Source organism: Homo sapiens, chromosome 17 (assembly GCF_000001405.40).
Source record: "Homo sapiens chromosome 17, GRCh38.p14 Primary Assembly".
NCBI classification, from domain to species: domain Eukaryota; kingdom Metazoa; phylum Chordata; class Mammalia; order Primates; family Hominidae; genus Homo; species Homo sapiens.
Genome location: NC_000017.11, coordinates 48,105,933 through 48,128,300, shown reverse-complemented (window position 1 = coordinate 48,128,300; position 22,368 = coordinate 48,105,933). Strand labels below are relative to the sequence as shown.

The window sequence follows — 22,368 nt, the reverse complement described above, 5'->3', positions numbered from 1 at the left end:
GCTGTACAAAAATCTTTTATAAATATAATGGCCCCCAAAAATACTTCCGTGTCAGAGGAAACTGAAGTACAATTAACAGAGTGATCGTATAATTTATTCTCCAAAGGAAGACATTTTTGAGAGTGAAAGGGGAGTTAATGATGATGCCAAGACCGCAGGTGTAAACTGGGAAGTGTGGTCATGCTAAAAATAAGGCAAAATGAGGTGCCCAGTCACCTGGGGAGTGGATGGTAGAGAAAGATGACCTGGCTTTCCTGGTATGAGGCTTGGCAATGTCCCTTCTAATGAAGTCCTCTCCCCTGCAGGCCTAGTTTCTAGGCAGACCCTGCCAACTGGGCTTTCTTTTCCTGATGCCCAGGCATTCTGAGGGGCCTGGTGTCTTTGGCATCAAGCTGCCTGTGGGGCTGGCCAGCTGTCGGCGGCTGTGTGCATTCAGTTCCCTCGTGGGTTCCCATCACAGTCCACCACCCCTCCAACTGGCAAAGCGCCACTGAAGGAAGCATTTTTGTGGCACCGGGCAATAGTATGCCACTTCCCTGCCTCCCGTAACAGAAGTGTTCCAAGAGGCTTCTAGTGCTGGTCCTCAAAGAGGACATCTGGTTCCACTGTAGACACTTGCAGCCTGATGGTGAGCAGCTGGTCACCTTTTATCCTCCACATCCCATCATGGAACAGGAAGCAGGCTACAGACATTTCCCTTTTCCACACCATCAGACATGCCCGCATTGCTGTGCTGTGAGTCACCAAGGTGGCATATGCACACCACCAGCCCTCTGGACGTGTCATGAACTGTTCCACCTCCAGAGAAGCACGCAGCATCTGGAGATTGAAGTTCATTTCTTCAACATCTCCACATTTAGGGTACCAGAACTTGGAGCAGATTACTTCACTCTGTTAGTGCAGGGCTTCTCAACCTCAGCATTATTCATATTTTAGGCCAGATAATTCCATGTTGTTGGGAGCATTGTAGGATGTCCGGCCACACCCCTGGCCTCTACCCACTAAATGCCAGTGGCCTCCCCCTACCCTACCCCTGAGCTCTGACCACCAAAAATATTTCTAGGCAGTGCCTAATATCCCCTGGGGGCAAAATCTCCCCTGGTTGAGAATTGCTGTCTCAGGGCATTTGGGGTGTGTTTAGCACAAAGCAGAGAAACCACCCCTCATTCTAGAAGTTTGTGCTTGAGCCGCTGGATTATGTGATAGAGATTACAGCTAGGTTGAGAAGATACAGCATTTAAATGCCACAAATCCCGCAGGGCTTAAAAACCCTTTGCTCTACCTTTAAGATTTGCTCACCTGCACTGCTGCAGATTTGCACTACGATGTGTTGGAATGAGCAAGACCATATTCGCCGGTTCAGAGACGCATTACAGTCTCTCTCGTGTCTTGAGCCCTGTGATTACTATCCCTTGTTTCCCTTTTCTGTGACAGAAATCTAAAAGAGGAGTGCTTGAAACTCCCACTTAGGACCAAGTCAAATGCTGTGTACTTCAGATCAAGAAACACCACGCAGAAGGCAGCTGCAGATGAAAGGGTTCGGCTCTGGTTCCCTCCTCAGTGCACTGGTGGGACTGGGGCCGGGCAACATGCTTTTCGTATGTTGACTACAGTCCCCAGGCAGAAGTGGGGAGATTCAGGACAGATTGCCATCTCTCGGCTGTGATTTTCCTGGTCCTCCGTGTTCATTTACTGGAAAGTTTTCTCATACAAAATGACTCCCAGGAGCTCTGTCCAGAACCAAAAAATAAATAAAACAAAAACGCAACCAAAAACCACTGCCTTCTCAGGAGGCCAAAATAGGAAGTGAGGTCCAGTGTCATTGTTGTCTCTGCCAGCACAGGCCAGACAGGAGGGCCATCACTGGTCCTGGTGCCAGCCAGAGCCCTGTCGACGCTGCCTCCCATGGGCCCTGAATCTGAGGCACCTGGAAGGGTTATTAGCAGGATTGGAACTCATCCCTCTGCTGGGACCAGATCATAATTACAGTAATTTTCTAACAGAGCTCGGCAGTAGGACTGTTTAATCAGCATCTGACTCCCTTGTGCTCCCAGCCCTCATTACTCAAGGAGAGGAGTGGGATGCCTCTTAAAGAGACAGTGCCCGCCTTTCAGCGTTTTGAACAGATGTGCCCTAATTGGTAGAATATATCTAAGTCTCACAGCTTATAGCAGGCAGGCTGCATTGCCTCCAACAAACTGCCTCAGGCATTCACTGTTCTGGGCCTTCTGCGGGAAGGATCCGGGTCAGGCTGCTGGTGGGGTGGGCTAGGCTTCCCACACCAACACAGCCACCAGGGAAAGGGACACACAGAGCTAGAGCACTTACAGGATTCGAACAGGCTGGCCCTTTCTGAACTGACGGTATCAAAGAAAATGTGCTTGGCTGAAGGACAGGAAGGAGAGACTTGACAGCCATGCAGCCATGCATGAAAAGAAATTTTGGCTGGTGGCTTCCCATAATCCAGAGATTCCAGAAGCATCTTGTGTTCCTGCCCTTCCAGGGGAAAAAAACCTTAGAGACTTCCCAGTAGTCTCCTAATTCTCACACCCTAGCTTTGTCACCTCTGTTTATTATCTGTGACCCTTTGGCAACCATGAAAGTACCCCTTGGCTTTTTTTCCTTCTCCTTTGCTTGTGAAAATAGACCAGATCTCCCCTGAACAAAAGAAAAGTAAAATTATTCACTCTGCTTATTCAGTCAGGAGGACTCTGTCTCCTAGGAAGTGTAGTTCTTGTTAACATTTTGAGCATAAGTTGTCTGTTTATTATATCTTGAGATTTGAGGTCTCCAGCTTTCCAACTCCAAATCCAGTCATGGCTAAAATAGAAGTGTTTTTCCCCCCTAAGAAGTCGTATCTCTAATAAGGCCAGACTCAGTGGCTAACACCTGTAATCTCAGCACTTTGGGAGGCCAAGGAGGGCAGATCACCCGAGGTCAGGAGTTTGAGACCAGCCTGGCCAACATGGTGAAATCCCATCTCTAATAAAAATACAAAAATTAGCCAGGCGTGGTGGTGGACACCTGTAGTCCCAGATACTCAGGAGGCTGAGGCAGGAGAATCACTTGAACCCGGGAGGTGAAGTTTGCAGAGAGCCGAGATCATGCTACTGCACTCTACCCTGGGCAACAGAGCAAAACTCCATCTCAAAAAAAAAAAAAAAAAAAAGTCATTATCACCTCCCAAGCAAAGCTAACAGAGAGGATAGGAGGTACCTTGGACTCGGTAGTATGGATGTAAGGCCTTAGCATGAGAAAACTAAGAACTGTGAAAGAGCTCTGATTTCTGAGAACAATTCTGAAAAGCCCTGCAGGGTTGTTGTTTTTTTCCTTGAATGTAGTGGTAGACTTTTTCTTTTTTGGAGTGGTAGGGGACTTGTCTCACAGAGCTTGGAAAGTATCTCTCATGTGAACATATTCCACCATCATCTAAAAACATGCTTTTTAAAAAACCACACTTGGCTGGGCACAGTGGCTCACGCCTGTAATCCGAGCACTTTGGGAGGCTGAGGCAGGCGGATCACTTGAGGTCAGGAGTTCAAGACCAGCCTGGCCAACATGGTGAAACCCCGTCTCTACTAAAAATACAAAAATTGCCAAACGTGGTGGCTCACGCCTATAATCCCAGCACTTTGGGAGACTGAGGCAGGTGGAACATGAGGTCAAGAGATCAAGACCATCCTGGCTAACATGGTGAAACCCCGTCTCTACTAAAAATACAAAAATTAGCTGGACGTGGTGGCACGTGCCTGTAGTCCTAGCTACTCGGGAGGCTGAGGCAGGAGAATCACTTGAACCCGGGAGGTGTAGGTTGCAGTGAGCCAAGATGGCGCCACTGCACTCCAGCCTGGCAACAGAGCAAGAGTCCATGTCAAAAAATAATCATAATAAATAAAATAAAAATAAAAATACAAAAATTAGCTGGGTGTGGTAGCAGGCCCCTGTAATCCCAGCTACTCTAGAGGCTGAGGCAGGAGAACTGCTTGACCCCGGGAGGTGGAGGTTGCAGTGAGCCGAGATTGTACCACTGCACTCCAGCCTGGGCAGCAAAGGCTGCCCATCTCAAAACAAACAAACAAACAAATAAAAAAACACACACAAAAACATTGAGCTCAGTTTCCTCAACGAAAAAAGGAGCATATACCTAACCTACCTTCCTTGCTAGGCACTGAGAAGGGCCAATAAAATTATGTTTATAAAACTTAGTATTTTAATGTAAGAAAACACCCCCCTCACACACAAACACATTTCCTCCCACCAAACAACCTCCACAAGCTTGGAATCAGTCATCCTGGGTAATGGATGACTAGATGTGGGCCATGGAGGTATCTGACAGAAGAAAGGTGACTACATCAGGACAGAACTTGACTCAAAACTAAATTCTAAACAAAATATTTTTATCCTACAAAACAGCTCAATGAGCCACTCCCCACAGCTAATCCTCCATCTTTCATAGAGGTCATCTGGCCACAGTGGCTAGACCTGGGCACACGCAGGGACAGAGCAAAACAGAAGAGGGGCCTATGGCACTATCTGGATGGAGAGGAAAACTCATGTGCGCTATTTTTCGGATGACCCTAGGCTTGTATTATTAGAAAAGTGCTTTCCTTCCTAGGACTTCTCCTTCCAAGGCCTATACTCAGTTAAGAGAGAGACTGAAAAGAGATGGTGCCTGGCCTTAGATTAACTGAGGTGCTGTTGTATGCATGCTGCTAATGGATCATTAAAAAAGCTGGGAGTCAGAAAAATCACATCCATGTCTTTGAATGGCTCCTGCTGTCCCAGCAGCCTAGCCGGCTGGCAGAACTAGCTGCTGAGCACCAACTCCAGGAAGAAAAGGAGCAAACAGAAGAAGGCCAACCCAGCTTGCTGTTTTTTTGGCTGAGTAGGGAATTGACACAGACCACCTCCAGCTCCTGTCTGGAAGTTTCGAGATCAGAGAGCTTCAGGCACAGCTGGGTTCACAGCTGCACCATTTGGAGCATTGGGCTCATTAATATTCATGAGCCATCCCCACCAATCGGCAGAGCGGATGCCATTAGCTTAGCATCTGTCGGGTTTTTGTGAGGGTTGCACATGGAGTTTTTTTCCCCTTTTAAATGAACTTCTTCTGACATTTTGGATTTGCCTCTGTAGGTTTTCTATCCTCGCCTTGCTCTGCTGCATCATATAAAGGAGAGACCCAGGGGAGGCGGGCAGGAAAGAGGGATGAATACCAGCCAGGGCTTTGCATCTGCCTGTTGACAAACTTTATTTCTCTTTCAGCACCTGGCACCTCAGACAGACTGCGAGGATGGAAGCAGCATCAGGTAAATTATACCTAACAAGGTTCACGCCCAGAACTGTGAGAAGAGTTGGATCCCAGCTCTTTGGAAGACAATCCTTCCTCCAGTGGTGAACTTGAGCTGCACACACAATGCAGGAGGGCTACAGAGCACAGTTCTGAAGCATTATTTCCACACTGATAAATTCATGATTTATGAAAGGAAATACTGCCAGCGCTCACTCCCTCCTTCTCTGCTACAGCTTGTTAGACACAAATTGCAACAACAATCTTAAATACTTGCATTTTATTTCAGGCCAAAGCCCCTCCACTCTGAACTAAATGCCATGACAGTCCCACAGCATAGGCTGGTAGTAAAAGAGCCCACAGACAGGGTAGGATAGCCAGAGGAGGGAGGAGTGGGCGACAGGGAGGGGAAGGATCACACACACAAACCTAAGAGTAGAGCAATGCAGAATGCCTGTGGCACTCGGCTCCTACCAGCTCTGGCTCTCAGTGGAGATGAAGAATGGCAGCAGGAGGACAGAATGCCTCATTGTCTGAAGGAGAGCGTGTTGTTTCTCATCTCCATCCCCAGAGCCCTCTCTTTCAGGCAGGCAGAAACAAAGCCCTTGCACCCCACTGCACTGCGCAACACAGCAGAGACGCTGGTGGCGGAAGCCCTGGAGGCAGGGAGCTGCTACCAAAGGAGAAGAAAAGGATTCCAAAAAGAAAGGAGCCCACTCTAACCCTGCGGAAAAGATGGCCACATGTCTGCTTTATAACCAGAAGAGACAGTAACAGCCCGGGACAGCCTTTCCCAAAATAAAGGCCCCTGGGCTGTTACTGTTCCCTCTGGCTGTGGCCAGCCACTTCTCTCTCATGCATGACCATGAGCTGTTGTGCAGGTCTCAGGCTCCACTCAGCCAGGCTAAGGTCTCGGGACATAAATCCCCAGCAGCAGGAGTCACAGCACCAGTTCCATTCAGTGGTATCAGTGAAAGAAAAAGCAAGGAGGTGGGAAAGTAAATATTCATCCCCCTGTCCATGCAAGGAGGTAGGCAAGAGGCCAGCCTCCCACAAACAAAGTGCTCTAGGGCTACAGCAAAAACTGAAGCCAGCCAAGATGGGGATACAACATAACCACTCCCAGTGGGATGATGTTCAATATGGCAGCTTAGAATTTGCCACATACGGGTCCCCAAAACTGGTCACCTGAGGAGATACTCCTGGTCCTACATACAAATGACCTGCAGAAACTCAGATCCCAGGAGAGTAATATAGGGTTCTGTTCAAAAGCAACAGCCCCTGTGTCTTATGTTTAACTTACAAACATCTGCACAGTATTTGTTCCCATGGAAGAGGCATAAGGGGCTGTAATGACTGACCTCTGTCAATCAGCCCAAGCAGAGGTGACTAGAAGACACTAAGCAGCCCAGCCTCCCACATACCTGCCCTGTGCCCAGTCCCACCTGAGTAAGTCTCCTGGCCCGCATCTTCTCTGACCATCTCAGAGCAGAACCCAGAGCTCACTTTTCCAAAACTGTTTCTAACTGACCAGGGTCCAAAGGCACAGCATGATCTCCTCCCACAGCCCTCCTCACAGACTGAAGAGTGGAGGTTCCCTCTTTGGGTCTTCCAAAATCACAGCATAATGGTGAGGAGAGGGGTGGGAGAGTGGGACTTTCCAAGGAAGGAACCTCAGAGTCAACAACTGGAGCCCACACTTCTAAATGGTCCTTTTCTTCACTGGGAGGCGGTGAGGGAGAGCTCCTCCTACCCGATCTTGGAAGAAAGCAGCAACTGGAAAAGAGTGGGAAAGGGAAAAGAAAGGTATGAACAGCTTGGGTAACATAGGGAGACTCCGTCTCTACAAAAAAATAAATTAGCCAGGGATGTTGGCATGTGCCTGTAATCCCAACTACTCAGGAAGCTGAGGCCAGAAGATTGCTTGAGCCTTGGAGGTCAAGGCTGCAGTGAGTTATGATTACACCACTGCACTTCAGCCTGGGCAACAGAGTGAGACTCTGTCTCAGAAAAAAAAGTATGAACATATAAACAAAAATGAACAGAAAGGGAAGTCTCTCTGAGCCTGTTCTGACTCAGGAGGCTGCCCGATTAAAAAAAAAAAAAATGGCTGGGCATGGTGAATTATTTGAGTCTGGGAGGTGGAGACCAACCTGGGTAACCTGGTGAAACCCTATCTCAATTTAAAAAAATAAAAAAGAGGCCGGGCGTGGTGGCTCACGCCTGTAATCCCAGCACTTTGGGAGACCGAGGTGGGCAGATCACGAGGTCAGGAGATGGAGGCCATCCTGGCTAACACGGTGAAACCCCGTCTCTACTAAAAATACAAAAAAAATTAGCCGGGCATGGTGGCGGGCGCCTGTAGTCCCAGCTACTCGGGAGGCTGAGGCAGGAGAATGGTGTGAACCCGGGAGGCAGAGCTTGCAGTGAGCTGAATCGTGCCACTGCACTCCAGCCTGGGCAACAGAGCAAGACTCCATCTCAAAAAAAAAAAAAAAAAAAAGGCCAGGTGCGATGGCTCACACCTGTAATCCCAGCACTTTGGGAGGCTGAAACGGGTGGATCACCTGAGGTCAGGAGTTCGAGACCAGCCTGGCCAACATGGTGAAACCCTATCTCTACTAAAAATACAAAAACTTAGCTGGGTGTGGTGGCAGGTGCCTGTAATCCCAGCTACTAGGGAGGCTGAGGCAGAAGAGTTGCTTGAACCTGGGAGGCGGAGGTTGCAGTGAGCCGAGATCATGCCACTGCATTCCAGCCTGGGTAACAGAGCAAGACTCTGTCTCAAAAAAAAAAAAAAAAAAAAAAACAGATAAATGCAAGTGAATGGATAAACAAAATGTGGTATATAGCACCATATAAATGGACTGCTATTTAGCCATAAAAATGGGGGAAAAAAAGAGAAAAAAACAGTAATGAAGTAATGACACATGATAAAATACAAATGAACCTTGAAAACATTGTTAGATGAAAAAAGCCAGTTACAAAAGACCACAAATCATATGACTCCATTTGTGTAAATGTCCAAAATAGACAAATGCATAGACAGAGAAAGTAGACTAGTGGTTGCCAGGAGCTGGGGGGGAGGGAAGGACAGGGGAGTCACTACTCATGGGTACAGGGTTTCTTTCGGGGTGATGAAAATGTTCTAAAATTGACTGTGGTGGCTGACAGTTATACAACCCTGTGACTATATTAAAAACTACTGAACTGTATCTAAAAAGGTAAACTTTATGGCAGGTAAATTGTGTGTCAATAAAGCTATTAGGCCAGGCTTATGCCAATAATCCTAGCACTTTGGGAGGCAGAGGCAGGCGGATCACCTAAGGTCAGGTGTTTGAGACCAGCCTGGCCAACATGGCAAAATCCCGTCTCTACTAAAAATACAAAACTTAGCCAGGTGTGGTGGCACTTGCCTGTAATCCCAGCTACTCAGGAAGCTGAGGCAGGAGAATCGCTTGAACCCAGGAGGCAGAGGTTGCAGTGAGCCGAGATCACGCCACTGCACTCCAGCCTGGGTGAAAGAGTGAGCGTCCGTCTCCACACAAAAAAATAAATAAATAAAAAGGGAGGGAGGAGGAATAAAAAACCGAATAAATGAGAAAGCTTTCCCTTCTTTCTCCCCAGGTTTCAGTAGGAGCCCCTGCTACCCAGTGGTGGGTTAACACAGACCCACCTGGATAGAAAGCCACGCACCCAAAGAACAAGAAAGGTTGTGAAAGGCTACCAATGCTATGACATTACTTTCCCTAACAAATGGACACCTCTCTGGTCCAGGTTATAGCAAACCTAGCCCCTGCTATCTCAAAGAGTACTCCAGTTACCTCTTAGGCTGGTCTCCTTTAGCCAGGTGAGAAGAGCTCTGCCTCTCTTCCTGGGCCCAGCCACAGTTTGACATAGCATATCGAAGAATGGCATCAGACACAGTCATGGTACTTCGGCCCTGGACACAGGCTTCTATCTCAGGCACCGAGAGCTGGCTTTGCAGGAATAGGTGCAACTGGCTGTCTGACAGGAGAACCACACTCTGCAGGACCCTGGGAAAAACACAGGTAGCACAACACAGAGCATCACCCTGAGGAACTGCTCTCCATTCCCCATCCTCTTAAGAACTTCTGGCTACCTGAGCAGGGAGCTCCATCCTGCCTGGCACATTCCTCCACCCCTGCCTCCACCCTTGGTGGCCAGCACCAGCCGTTCTGTCCACTCACTTTTCAAGGAAGTGCTGCAGACCTTGTCGTCGCTTCTCAATGAACTCATCTGAGGTGCCGAAGAAGGTTGACTTCCCAGGAAGTTCAGGAACAGGCCTGTGCAGCCACATGATATAACACCCATGATAAGTGTAACATCTAAGATAGTCATTCCGGCCTCTGATCAAGGAAATCCCTTAAAAAGAGGTCTAATCAATACAAATAGCTTTTTTTTTTTTTTTTGAGATGGAGTCTCGCTCTGTCGCCCAGGCTGAAGTGCAGTGGTACAATCTCGGCTTACTGCAACGTCTGCCTCCCGGGTTCAAGCAGTTCTCTGCCTCAGCCTCCCGAGTAACTGGGATTACAGGTGCAGGCCACCACACCCAGCTAATTTTTTGTATTTTTAATAGAGACGGGGTTTCACCATGTTAGCCAGGATGGTCTTGATCTGACCTCGTGATCCCTGCCTGCCTCGGCCTCCCAAAGTGCTGGGATTACAGGCATGAGCCACCGTGCCTGGCCCCAATTAGCTTTTAATAAGGGGTGGTGCTAACATTGACTGCATGCCAAGTGTCAAGCCAGACTGTGCTAAATGTTTTATAAACATGATTTCATTTAGTCATCCCAAAACCCCGTGAGAAAGATATTAACTCACTTCAGATCAGAGAAGTTAAGTAAATGTCTCACTGTTACACAGCTAATAAGCAGCAAAGCTCATATCAGAACCAGATCTATGACTATAAAACCCATGCTGATACATTATTTTTGTCTGTTTGATTTTAGAGACAAGGTATTGCTTTCCAAGCTGCTCTCTCCAGGTTGCCCAGGCTGGAGTGCAGTAGCATAAACGTGAGCATAGCTCGCCGCAGCCTCAAATTCCTGGGATGAAGTAATCCTCCTGCATCAGCCTCCCAGAATAACTATGACTACCGGTACGTGCCACTGTGTGCACCTAATTTATTTATTTGTTTACTTATGTATCTGTAGAGACAGTATTGCTCTGTTGCCCAGGCTGGTCTCAAACTCCTGGCCTCAAGTGATCCTCCTTCCTTAACCTCCCAAAGCACTGGAATTACATGTGTGAGCCACCAAGCCGAGCCACACTATGTTGTTTATGAAACCCACTCCCAGCTTGGTGCCATGGTTCATGCCTGTAATCCTGGCACTTTGGGAGGCCGAGGTGGGCAGATCACTTGAGCTCAGGAGTTCAAGACCAGCTTGGGCGACATGGTGAAACCTCATCTCTCCTTTAAAAAAAAAAAACAGCCAGGCGCGGTGGCTCACGCCTGTAATCCCAGCACTTTGGGAGGCCGAGGTGGGTGGGGATCACGAGGTCAGAAAATCGAGACCATCCTGGCTAACACGGTGAAACCCCATCTCAACTAAAAAATAGAAAAAACTAGCCGGGCGTGGTGGCGGGCGCCTGTAGTCCCAACTACTCGGGAGGCTGAGGCAGGAGAATGGCGTGAACCTGGGAGGCGGAGCTTGCAGTGAGCTGAGATTGTACCCTTGCACTCCAGCCTGGGCAACAAGAGTGAAACTCTGTCTCAAAAAAAAAAAAATTAAATAAATAAATAAATAAAAATAAAAATACATAATTAGCCAGGCGTGGTGGCACATGCCTGTAATCCCCAGCTACTCGGGAGGCTGAGGCAGGGGAATCACTTAAACCTGGGAGGCGGAGGTTGTGGTGAGCTGAGATCAAGCCATTGCACTCCAGCCTGGGCAACAAGAGCGAAACTCCATCTCAAAAAAAAACAAAAAAGAGAAAAGAAAAGAAAATTAGTAGGGCATGGTGGTGCACCCCTGTAATCCCAGCTACTCAGGAGGCTGAGGAAGGAGAATCACTTGAACCTGTGAGGTGGAGGTTGCAGTGAGCCGAGATCGTGCCACTGCAAACACTCCAGCCTGCAGGATGAGACAGGAGCAAGACTCCATCTCAAAAAAAAAAAAAAGGCCGGGCGCAGTGGCTCACACCTGTAATAGCAGCACTTTGGGAGGACAAGGCACGTAGATCATGAGGTCAGGAGTTGGAGACCAGCCTGACCAAAATGGTGAAACCCCGACTCTACTAAAAATACAAAAATTAGCCAGCCGTGGTGGTGTACACCTGTAATCCCAACTGCTCAGGAGGCTGAGGCAGAAGAATCCCTTGAACCTGGGAGTTGCAGTGAGCCGAGATTGCACCACTACACTCTAGCCTGGGTGACAGAGCGAGACTCCGCCTCAGAAAAAAAAAAAAAAAGGAAAAAAGAAATCCACACCCACCATCAACTATTATTTTTAAAAAGGAAGAAACTGGAGTGGGACGCAGTGGCTCACAACTGTAATCCCAACAACTTGGGAGACTGAGGTAGGAGGATCACTTGAGGCCAAGGAGTTTGAGAGACCAGCCTGGGCAACAAAGTGAGACCTTTCTCTACAAAAAATACAAAAATTAGCTGAGCATGGTGGCACATACCTGTAGTCCCAGCTACTTGGGAGGCTGAAGTGGGAGAATCCCTTGACCCCAGGCGTTTGAGGCTGCTGAGGCTCACATTTTTTTGTAGTTGTTGTTGTTGTTTTTGAGACAGTCTCGCTCTGTCACCAGGCTGGAGTGCAGTGGCACAATCTCAGCTCACTGCAACCTCTGCCTCCCAGGTTCAAGCAATTCTCTGCCTCAGCCTCCTGAGTAGCTGGGATTACAGGCACCTGCCACCACACCCGGCTAGTTTTTTGTATTTTTAGTAGAGATGGGGTTTCACCATCTTGGCCAGGCTGGTCTTGAACTCCTGACCTCATGATCCACCTGCCTCAGCCTCCCAAAGTGCTGGGCGTGAGCCACCGCGACCGGCAGAGGCTCACTTAGCTAAGCTCTGTCTCAAAAAAAAAAAAAAAGAAAGAAAAAGAAAAACAAAACAAAAAAAAAACAGGCCAGGCTGGAGGATATAGGATTTGTCAGGGGAACGGAGTTTCACCTGGTTTATTAGGGCCTGCCCCAGGACAACAGCCTCATCAGTTCCACATGTTAACTAACTGACTTGGTCACTCAACAGGCCACCTATCACCACTGAGTATTCAGTGACCATCCTACAGCAAAATCACTGTTGTAATTCTCTCCACTTTCAGGACTTATTTGGCAGGTGGGTGTGAGGAGTAAATAATAACTGCCTTCCCTAGGCTCTCATATGTCTCTGGAAAAGGACCTCTGTATTAAAAGAGAAAAAAAAATCATTATTTTTACATGTGAAGTGGATGGAAACACTAGCTGTCAAATAAGTCCAGGTGCTTAAAATTTTCTGATAAGCAGATTTAAACTGTTTAAAATGTTAGCTGTATATTTGTTGAGCTCTAGACATATATGCATATAAAGAAAGAAAAATATTTTTGATGTTAGTATGGCTTTGTTAGGTAAAAATACTCGAAATTAGATTCTACTTTTTTCACTGACTTGAAAATATGATTTAAGAACATATATCTGGCCGGGTGCGGTGGCTCACGCCTGTAATCCCAGCACTTTGGGAGGCCGAGGCAGGCGGATTGCCTGAGGTTGGGAGTTCGAGACCAGCCTGGCTAGCATGGTAAAACCCTGTCACTACTAAAAACACAAAAATTAGCTGGGCGTGGGGGTAGGGACCTGTAATCCCAGCTACTCGGGAAGCTGAGGCAGGAGAATCGCTTGAACCCAGGAGGCTGAGGTAGCAGTGAGCCGAGATCACACCATTGTACTCCAGCCTGGGCAACAGAGTGAGACTCCGTCTCAAAAAAAAAAAAAAAGAAAAAAGGCGGAGCATGGTGGCTCACGTCTGTAATCCCAGCACTTTGGAAGGCCAAGGCAGGTGGATCATGAGGTCAGTTTAAGACCAGCCTGCCCAGGCTGGGCGCAGTGGCTCACACCTGTAATCCTAGCACTTTGGGAGGTGGAGATGGGTGGATTGCCTGAGCTCAGGAGTTCGACACCAGCCTGGGCAACGTGGTAAAACCTCATCTCTACTAAAATACAAAATAGTCAGCCAGGCGTGGTGGCAGGCGCCTGTAATCCCAGCTACTCGGAAGGCTGAGGCACAAAAATTGCTTGAGCCTGGGAGGTGGAGGGTGTCACTGCACTCCAGCCTGGGCAACAAAGTGAAACTCTGTCTCAAAAAAAAAAAAAAAAAGCAAAAAAAACCCAGCCTGGCCAAGATGGTAAAACCCCACCTCCACTAAAAATACAAAACATTAGCTGGGCATGGTGGTAACCCCCTGTAATTCCAGCTACTCGGGAGGCTGAGGCAGAGAACTGCTTGAACCCGGGAGGCGGAGGTTGCAGTAAGCCGAGATTGTACCACTGCACTCCAGCCTGGGCGACAGAGCGAGACTCCATCTCAAAAAAAAAAAAAAAAAAGAAGGCCTGGGCATGGTGCCTCACGCCTATAATCCTAGCAACTTTGGGAGGCTAAGGCAGGCAGATCACCTGAGGTTAGGAGTTCGAGACCAGCCTGACCAACATGGAGAAACCCCATCTCTACTAAAAATACAAAATTAGCCAGGAGTGGTGGCGCATGCCTGTAATCCCAGCTACTCAGGAGGCTGAGGCAGGAGAACCTCTTGAACCCGGGAGGTGGAGGTTGCGGTGAGCCGAGATCGCACCCAGGCAACAAGAGCAAAACTCAGTCTCAAAAAAAAAAAAAAAAGAACATATTTCCCAGCCAGGAGTGGTGGCTCACGCCTGTAATCCCAGCACTTTGGGAGGCCGAGACAGGTGGATCACTTGAGTCCAGGAATTTGAGACCAGCCTGGCCAACATGGACAAACCCCACCTCTACTAAAAATACAAAAATTAGGCAGGCATAGTGGTGGGCACCTGTAATCCCAGCTACTTGGGAGGCTGAGGCAGAGAGAATTGCTTCAACCTGGGAGGTGGAGGTTGCAGTGAGATGAGATCATGCCACTGCACTCCAGCCTGGGCAACAGAGCAAGACTCCATCTCAAAAAAAAAAAAAACATTATTTCCCAGCCGGGCCTGGTGGCTCACACCTGTAATCCCAACAATTTGGAAGGCCAAGGCAGGAGGACTGCTTGAGCCCAGGAGTTCAAGACCACCCTAGTAACATAGGGAGACCTCCATCTCTACAAAAATATTTTCCAAATTAGGCAAGTGTGGTGGCATGCACCTGTAGTCCCAGCCACTTGGGAAGCTGAGGTGGGAGGATTGCTAGAACCCAGGAGGTTGAGGCTGCAGTGAGCCATGATTGCACCACTGCACTCCAGCCTCTGTAACAAAGCAAGACCCTACATCAAAAAAAAAAAAAAACCCAAAAAACAAAAAAAGAAACAACATATTTCCCAATTTCCTTAGTGCCTGGTATGTTGCAAGTTCTCTTCATTGTCAACTCCAGTTCCTACATAAGCACCCAAAAAGCCAGTCACAGACCCAAGAAGGAAGCAAGAGCAAACTCACACCAAACCAGCATTTCTCTGTAGCTGCTTTCTCAGCCACACGAACTCACGGTAGCGGCGCCGCACACAGGAAGTCTTGGCAGTAAAGGCTTTGCTGTTGGTCTATACATGAAAGCACATGAAGTACATGAAAAGGGTTTAGTGGAAATAGACAAGTTCACATGAGCTCCCTATCATTGCTTTCACTGAGGAGCCATGCCATCAGGCCACAGACCTGATCAGGTCCCCAACTAGAACAAGGTGCCACCAGGCAGCCCAAAAGCAACTCAAAGACATACCTCAAGCTCTCTTTCCTTTCCTCCCTCCCTTTCTTCTAAGTCTTCTGTCTCGGGTCCACCAGAAACACTCAAAAATAGGTTACACCTTGACCTGCACGGTGGCTCACGCCTATAATCCCAGCACTTTGGGAGGCCAAGGAGGGTGGATCACTTGAGGTCAGGAGTTCAAAACCAGCCTGGCCAACATGATGAAACCCCATCTCTACTAAAAAAATATATATTCAAAATTAGCTGGGCGTGGTGGCACATGCCTGTAATCCCAGCTACTTGGGAGGCTGAGGCAGGAGAATCACTTGAACCTGGGAGGCGGAGGTTGCAGTAAGCCGAGATCACACCACTGCACTCCAGCCTGGGCAACAAGAGCAAAACTCCATCTCAAAAAAAAAAAAAAAAGGTTACACCTCAGTACAAGCCCCTCAGCCCTGCAGAGCGCTGACCCCAATACAGAAGCTTGATGTACTCACATGGAGGAATATCTTATAATCCACATAAGAGTTCCAGGAGCCCTCATTCTGCACTCGGGGGTCCTGAACACGCACTGTAATCACCTCCTGTAGGTAAGAAAAGCTCCCTCAGCTTCAGCTACACAGCAAGGCAGCTCTGACAACACAGGTCGCTAGATTTTTCCACCCAACACCAACTTTCATTCACTCAACACCAACTTTCATTTATTCAATTCAACTTTCATTCACTCAATTCAGTCACTCAATTCAACAAATTTTTACTGAGCCCCACTACGTGTCAGACACTGTTATAGGCACTGGGGATAAAGCATGAACAAGAGACGTAAGTGCCTGCCCCCATGAAGCTTACATTCCAGTATATTCCAATCAAAGGAAAATTTAGTCAGAATGGAACCCCAATTTCCTAGGAATGCCTCTGCTGTTGATTTCTTTCTCCTGACTTTATTCTGAGCTCATCAGAACCACCAAAGTAATACTGCAGGTAATAATTAATGATTTGCATCTCTATGTCCTCTTTCCTCCTAAATCCCCTCTCCAACTTTTACCCACCTGTTCTCTGCAGACCATACTCTTACCTCCTGTTCTTGGTTCTCCGACATCCTACACCAAAAGCCCATTGGAAGGAAACATCTGATGAGGGACAGAGGATACAGGATCAAGGTTAGTATGCCTCTGTTCTTATCATTCTTTACCAGGGAAAACCCCGAAAGTTTTTAATAGACCCCCGTGGGGAAACCCAGGCAACACTTTTTGTTCTTGTAAAACTTAAGAGGAAGCAAAAAAAAAATCCCCATTAGCTCAATGCCAAGCTAAAAGGCCCTGGGGGATTTGCCTCCCTTCTCAGACCAGGCCCTCAACTAGGCCACCTCTCCCCAAAGCGTGTTGGAGTCTACAGAAAGTTTGTCACACGCAGCCAGAACAGGCGGGTCCAGATGTAAAACTTTTGCCTTGAAGAATGCAGGCACAACAGGGTCTGGTGAGCACTCACATCACAGCATTTTTTTTTTTTTTTTGAGGCAGAGTTTCACTCTTGTTGCCCAGGCTGGAGTGCAATGGCACAATCTCGGCTCACCACAACCTCTGCCTCCTGGGTTCAAGCAATTCTCCTGCCTCAGTCTCCCGAGTAGCTGGGATTACAGGCACGTGCCACCACACCCAGCTAATTTTGTATTTTTAGTAGAGACGGGGTTTCTCCATGTTGGTCAGGCTGGTCTCGAACTCCTGACCTCAAGTGATCCGCCCTCCTCGGCCTCCCAAAGTGCTGGGATTACAGGCGGGAGCCACCACGCCCTGCCAGATCACAGCTTTGAAAGCGAGCCTAACAGCACCCCCTCCCGGCTGTTTAGAGACAACCAAGTCCCCACAAACACCAATGCTTCTGCATTTCTCCCAGTCTCACTAACAACCAGTCAACTCCCCACAGGTGAATCATAGAGCTAGAGCACTCCAAGGAGCACCTGAGTGGGTTGCCCAGTTGGGACCTTCCCCTTATCCAATCCATACTCTGGAACCCGAGCCAATTGTTCTAATTACTTCCTCTCCTGACATGCCATCCGGTTTGTACTTCTGTCCAAGCACCCCACAGCTGCACAGGTCGACTCAGGATGCGTTCTGCTCCTTTGTAAAGATTCATTAAAGCCTCAGCCCCTGATTTTCCCCAATGTGGCAGTTCACGTGTATAGCGACATCACCCACTCCGACAAGGGGACCATGAAGGCTGCAGCACGGGGTTACTCAAGTCCAATGGGGCCCATGATGTCACCTTCTGTTAAAATACAGCACTAATCTTGTTACTTCTACAACTATTCCAACAGCATCCACCCTGGCTGCCGCCTGCACCCCCTTCTCTCTTAAGAGAGAAACAATAAGGTTTAATTTCCCTTTCCAATTTACCTTGAAATGAAAACTGACTTCAGCCAATATGTACTGCCAACAAATGATCCAGGCTGGCTCCTGGGAAAACAAGACTATCTCTAATATCTCTAAGCCCTCCCTCTCCTCCCCCATCCCGTACTCATTCACATACCCACTCATTTTTACAGTCCCACAATTAATTTTAAACACATTCTCTTATTAGTTCTGCCTTACCATTAGAACACTGTGTAATGAGTTTCCTTCTATTTTATGTTTTGCTAACACAAGGCTAACATTTCAAAAGAAGGGGAACTCATTTACACCATGAAATTAGCAAAGCAAACCACTTTTTCAATTCTCTCCAATATACCAGAAGTATCTCCACAGACAAACACTGCATGCAGAAACGAAGCTGCATGGTCCATGACAAAATTGGGCTACACAATATTGAGCAAACCTAAGGTTTTGTGATTTCAGTACCATCTTAAATGGTATTCTTGCTGACAATCTGATTTTTATCTGATGCAGCCACCACCTCCAAGGGGTCCTGAACTGAAAGGTGGGAAATTCCAATTCCATAACAACCCATATATAACATTCCAGATATCAGTCAAATGTCTGAGACCAAAAAGAGCAGACCTATTTGCTGTGAACAATGAACCTCCTTAAGTTTTTTTTTTCTCTTCTCTTTGCAGGCATTGGATAAACTGCCAGCACAGGAGCAGAGAGTTAAATATTCTGAAGTGTCTTTAAACAAAACTAACAACGGGAAAGACGATGACAAGGAAATCACAGTCATCCACTCAGTGGAGCTCATACATCTTTTGTGCCTTGAAAAAGGTTTGTCAAATTCAGGACCATAATTTAGGAACGAAATGATCATCATACCCTTGGTCTCAGGAAGTTTGTATAGGGCCCTGCACTACCTTCATGAAGAAATTCTTCTTTCCTTTGGGGCCAATACCACTCAGAAACAAATAGCTATGAACTGGCTTTTTAAAAACCTCCAGACACCAGCCTGGCCAACGTAATGAAACTCCGTCTCTACTAAAAATAAAAAAAATTAGCGGGCGTGGTGGCAGGCGCCTGTAATCCCACCTACTTGGGAGACTGAAGCAGGAGAATCACTTGAACCCGGGAGGCGGAGGTTGCAGTGAGCCGAGATCGCGCCACTGCACTCCAGCCCAGGCGACAGTGCAAGACTCCGTTGTCAAAAAAAAAAACACAAAAAACAAAAAACCTCCAGATGGGCCGGGTGCGGTGGCTCACGTCTGTAATCCCAGCACTTTGGGAGGCCGAGGCGGGCGAAATACGAGGTCAAGAGATTGAGACCATCCTGGCCAACATGGTGAAACCCCTTCTTTACTAAAAATACAAAAATTAGCTGGGCATGGTGGCGCGTGCCTGTAGTCCCAGCTACTCGGGAGACTGAGGCAGGAGAATCAGTTGAACCCAGGAGGTGGAGGTTGCAGTGAGCCGAGATCGCACCACTGCACTCCATCCTGGCAACAGAGTGAGACTCCGTCTCAAAAAAAAAAAAAGAAAGTTTCAGTTGTAACTGTCCTTAAAAACACTGGGCTGGCCCAGTGGCTCACGCCTGTAATCCAACACTTTGGGAAGCTGAGGCGGGCAGAACACTTGAGGCCAGGAGTTCAAGAACAGCCTGGCCAACAAGGCAAAACTTCGTCTCTACTAAAAATACAAAAATTAGCTGGGCATGGTGGCACAGGCCTGTACTCCCAGCTACTCGGGAGACTGAGGCATGAGAATTGCTGGAACCCAGGAGGCGGAGTCTGCAATGAGCCAAGATCACACCACTGCACTCCAGCCTGGGCGACAGAGCAAGACCCTGTCTCAAAAAACAAACAAATAAACACTGGAACAAATACAAAAACCTAGACACCAAGTAGTAATTTCTAGCAACCACTCTTCTCCATTAGATTCCTCCCCACAGATACCACTCCTCAAAAGAAAAAGCTCAGTTCTGCCTCTGGAGAAGCAGCAGGAAGTTCCTAACTTTAGTTCTCTGATCTGGGAGATGGATCTGTACTTCATCCAAATAAGGCTAGAGTCAGTGACCATAGCTAGTTACATAACTTAGTGTTAACTACATTTTCTGGGCCCTTTCAACCACATCTGAAGTTTCCTTTACTTTCTTCACCTGTACCAGCACCAGTAGCTCTGGTGAGTACCCGATTGTTTGCTGTTTACAAAGTAGATTCATCGTAAAGCTTTCTAATATAGTAACAATGCAAGGCTTTAGTCTCACCATTTATTTTCTCTCCCATTTAAACAACTTCAAGAGACAGGTTAAGAAACAAATCAGGTGATAAAAGTAGATGGAACTACTGAGACTACCGTCCCTTCTTACTCAATCTTGAGCCTTTAGTGCCAGATGGCAGAAAGCAATTCAAAAAGCTCTCGCTCCAATTATAAATATCACAGGTACTAAACAGAGGAAGCTCCCAGTTCTGACCAAGCTCTGTGTGATCTCAACCAAGCAGTTATGCTCCATCTTTTTGTCCATCTCTAATCGTACGCCTTTCACTTGGAAGGTAAGTAACAAAGGCGACCACAATCTACCGCCAAGTCTCCCGTGTCCACGTAAAATACTCGCCATTGCCCCCAGTCTTAGCCATTTAAGTAAATGTCCCCAGAGTCTTTTACTACGGCCACTCTTTCTCCATTCTCAACAAACTAGGACCGAAAGGTCCACATGGTCCTTCTTTCTTTCCGATTAAGCTTGGGGGGTAGGAAGTGAAAGATACACTTTGAAGGTAAACTGAAAAGCCGGGTTTCCTTTCTTGGATCCCGAGCAAGCCCTTGCCTTAATCCCGGGTGGTAAGAGAGTCCCTCCCTAGGATGTAAAGCGATGCCACCATCCCGAGTGCCACTACTGACGCTCAAGCCCACGCCCCCTCACAGGAGAGCAGCACCCACTCCCCAGGCCCCGCCCACGCCCTCTCACCTGAGAACAGCACCAGCTCCCCACAGCGACACCGCCCGCGCCCCACCATATAGCCAGATCACGGCTTCTCCTTCCGGGTGAGTCGCCGGTGCCCCGGTGCACGACGGGAGACGCCCCAATCCCGGGTGCCCGGGACGCCCCGCCCCTACAGGCCCGGGCTCTGAGTGGGATTCCCGCTTCCGAATAGCGCGGCTCCGCTGGCCAAGGCCCCGGACTGGAGTCGGGATCCCCCCTCCACTCACTTGGGACGCCGGAGAGTGCACGCAGGTGCCGGGTGAGGGACGGCGAATGGATATCCAATCCGGGGCCGCGTTCCGCCCACTGTCAGGGGAAGCCAATCAGCGGCCAGGGGGCGTCAGCGACGGGCAGCCAGTGGGTCCCGGGAGCAGAGGGGTGTAAGGGGGTTGTTACTCTTGTTCTCGCTATGCGAGGGATAGTCTGCAGTGTGGGAGGTTCGGGGCTTTAGGAAGCCCACATCCCTGGATCCTCACTAAGTCCCGAGAGCCACCATTTGAACCTCGTAGTTTGCTGTTCCCCAGCGGAGCTATCAAGGGGACTCCGATTCAGATTCGTAAAGCCACGGACCGATTGTCAGAGTGAAAGTCAGACTCGAGAGGGTCCGGCGACTCAGATTGCTCACACCGAAACAAACTCGAAGCAATATCATGCAGCTAGGGAGCAAGAGAAAGCCGTTCAATGTGTTGGTGGTCTTTTAACAACTTATTTAAAGATAATTTCAGCAAGCCTAGCGCGGTGGCTCACGCCTGTAATCCCAATACTATTAGGGAGGCCGAGGCGGGAGGATCGCTTGAGGCCAGGCTTGAGACACGCCCTACCAACTTAGGGAGACCCTCGCCTCTGCAAAATATTTTAAAAATTAGCCGGGCATGGTGACACGCGCCTGTAGTCCCAGCTACTCGGGAGGCTGAGACAGGAGGATGGCTTGAACCCAGGGGTTCGAGGCTGCAGTGAGCCCTGATCACTGCAGAGCAAGACCCTGTCTGAAAAAAAGAGAGAGAGCTAAAAGGAAGAAAAGAGAGGAAAGAAAAGAAAGGGGCCGGGCACAGTGCCTCACGCCTGTACTTCCACCACTTTGGGAGGCGGAGGCGGGTGGATTACCTGAGGTCAGGAGTTCGAGACCAGCCTGGCCAACATGGTGAAACCCCGTCTCCACTAAAACTACAAAAATTAGCTGGGCGTGGTCATGGGCACCTGTAATCCCAGCTATTCAGGAGACTGACACAGGGGGATTGCTTGAACCCAGGAATCGGAGGTTGCAGTGAGACAAGATCGCGCCATTACACTCCAGCCTGGGAGACTCCATTGTAAAAAATAAATAAATAAAAAGGAAGATAGCTGGGTTCTCCTATGTGCTTCCCCTTTCTCTGTTGTGCTCTGTTGTTTTGGTACATTAAGAAAATTCAGCCTTATATAGCTATGTAGTTGAGAAAAGGAAGAGTATTTTTAGCCTTCTCAAACAATTCTGAATACTCTTCTTTGATACTACCCAAATTCAACAAATGGTAACTTTTCTTTGCTTTTTTGAGACAGGGTCCTGCTCTGTTGCCCAGGCTGGAGTGCAGTGGCAGGATCACAGCTCACTGCAGCCTCAACCTCCAGGGCTCAAGCCATCCTCCCTCCTCAGCCCTTGGAGCTGCTGGGACCGCAGGCGTGTGCCACCATACTCGGTTAATTTTTAAAATTTTTATACAGATAATTTTTTAAGTTTTTAAAATTTTATACAACATAGAGTCTCCCTATGTTGCCGAGACTGGAAGTGTTTATTTATTTATTTTTAAGTACACACCACCTTGGAGATGGAGTCATTTCTTAAAGGTTAAGTGTGATAGGGAGTCAAGCCATTTAGAAAATACTGGTACAGAGTTATGCAGATCAGCCAATGTTG

At 48.1% G+C, this 22,368-nt stretch overlaps 1 protein-coding gene across 8 annotated transcripts, besides 2 other annotated features; it reads right to left on the bottom strand.

The window, feature by feature from the left end:
• Positions 1 to 4,699: 4,699 nt before the first annotated feature.
• Positions 4,700 to 20,727, bottom strand: SNX11 (sorting nexin 11). 8 transcript variants are annotated; one of them, NM_001439148.1, is made up of 8 exons: positions 20,705 to 20,727; positions 17,534 to 17,593; positions 16,216 to 16,270; positions 15,641 to 15,727; positions 14,900 to 15,000; positions 9,502 to 9,597; positions 9,115 to 9,327; positions 5,556 to 7,066 (listed from the first exon to the last, which is right to left on the bottom strand). In NM_001439148.1, the coding sequence occupies exons 3-8, from the start codon at positions 16,255 to 16,257 to the stop codon at positions 6,793 to 6,795; spliced, it is 813 nt and encodes a 270-aa protein (NP_001426077.1). In that variant the 5' UTR covers positions 16,258 to 16,270; positions 17,534 to 17,593; positions 20,705 to 20,727; the 3' UTR covers positions 5,556 to 6,792. The 8 variants fall into 8 exon arrangements, with proteins under 8 accessions (NP_037455.2, XP_024306504.1, NP_001426077.1 ...); NM_001439150.1 differs by lacking the exon at positions 20,705 to 20,727 and adding an exon at positions 20,463 to 20,535 and having other exon boundaries at positions 16,190 to 16,270; NM_152244.3 differs by lacking the exon at positions 20,705 to 20,727 and adding an exon at positions 20,463 to 20,535.
• Positions 18,662 to 18,835: a silencer, noted in NCBI's record as "fragment chr17:46186828-46187001 (GRCh37/hg19 assembly coordinates)". NCBI's record gives its function as "represses an EF-1alpha promoter that drives an FKBP-Casp9 reporter gene in an ReSE screen in K562 erythroleukemia cells {active_cell/tissue: K562}" and the evidence as "EXISTENCE:reporter gene assay evidence [ECO:0000049][PMID:32094911]".
• Positions 20,370 to 20,529: a silencer, noted in NCBI's record as "silent region_8650". NCBI's record gives its function as "represses an Ori minimal core promoter by ATAC-STARR-seq in GM12878 lymphoblastoid cells {active_cell/tissue: GM12878}" and the evidence as "EXISTENCE:reporter gene assay evidence [ECO:0000049][PMID:35858748]".
• Positions 20,728 to 22,368: the final 1,641 nt, after the last annotated feature.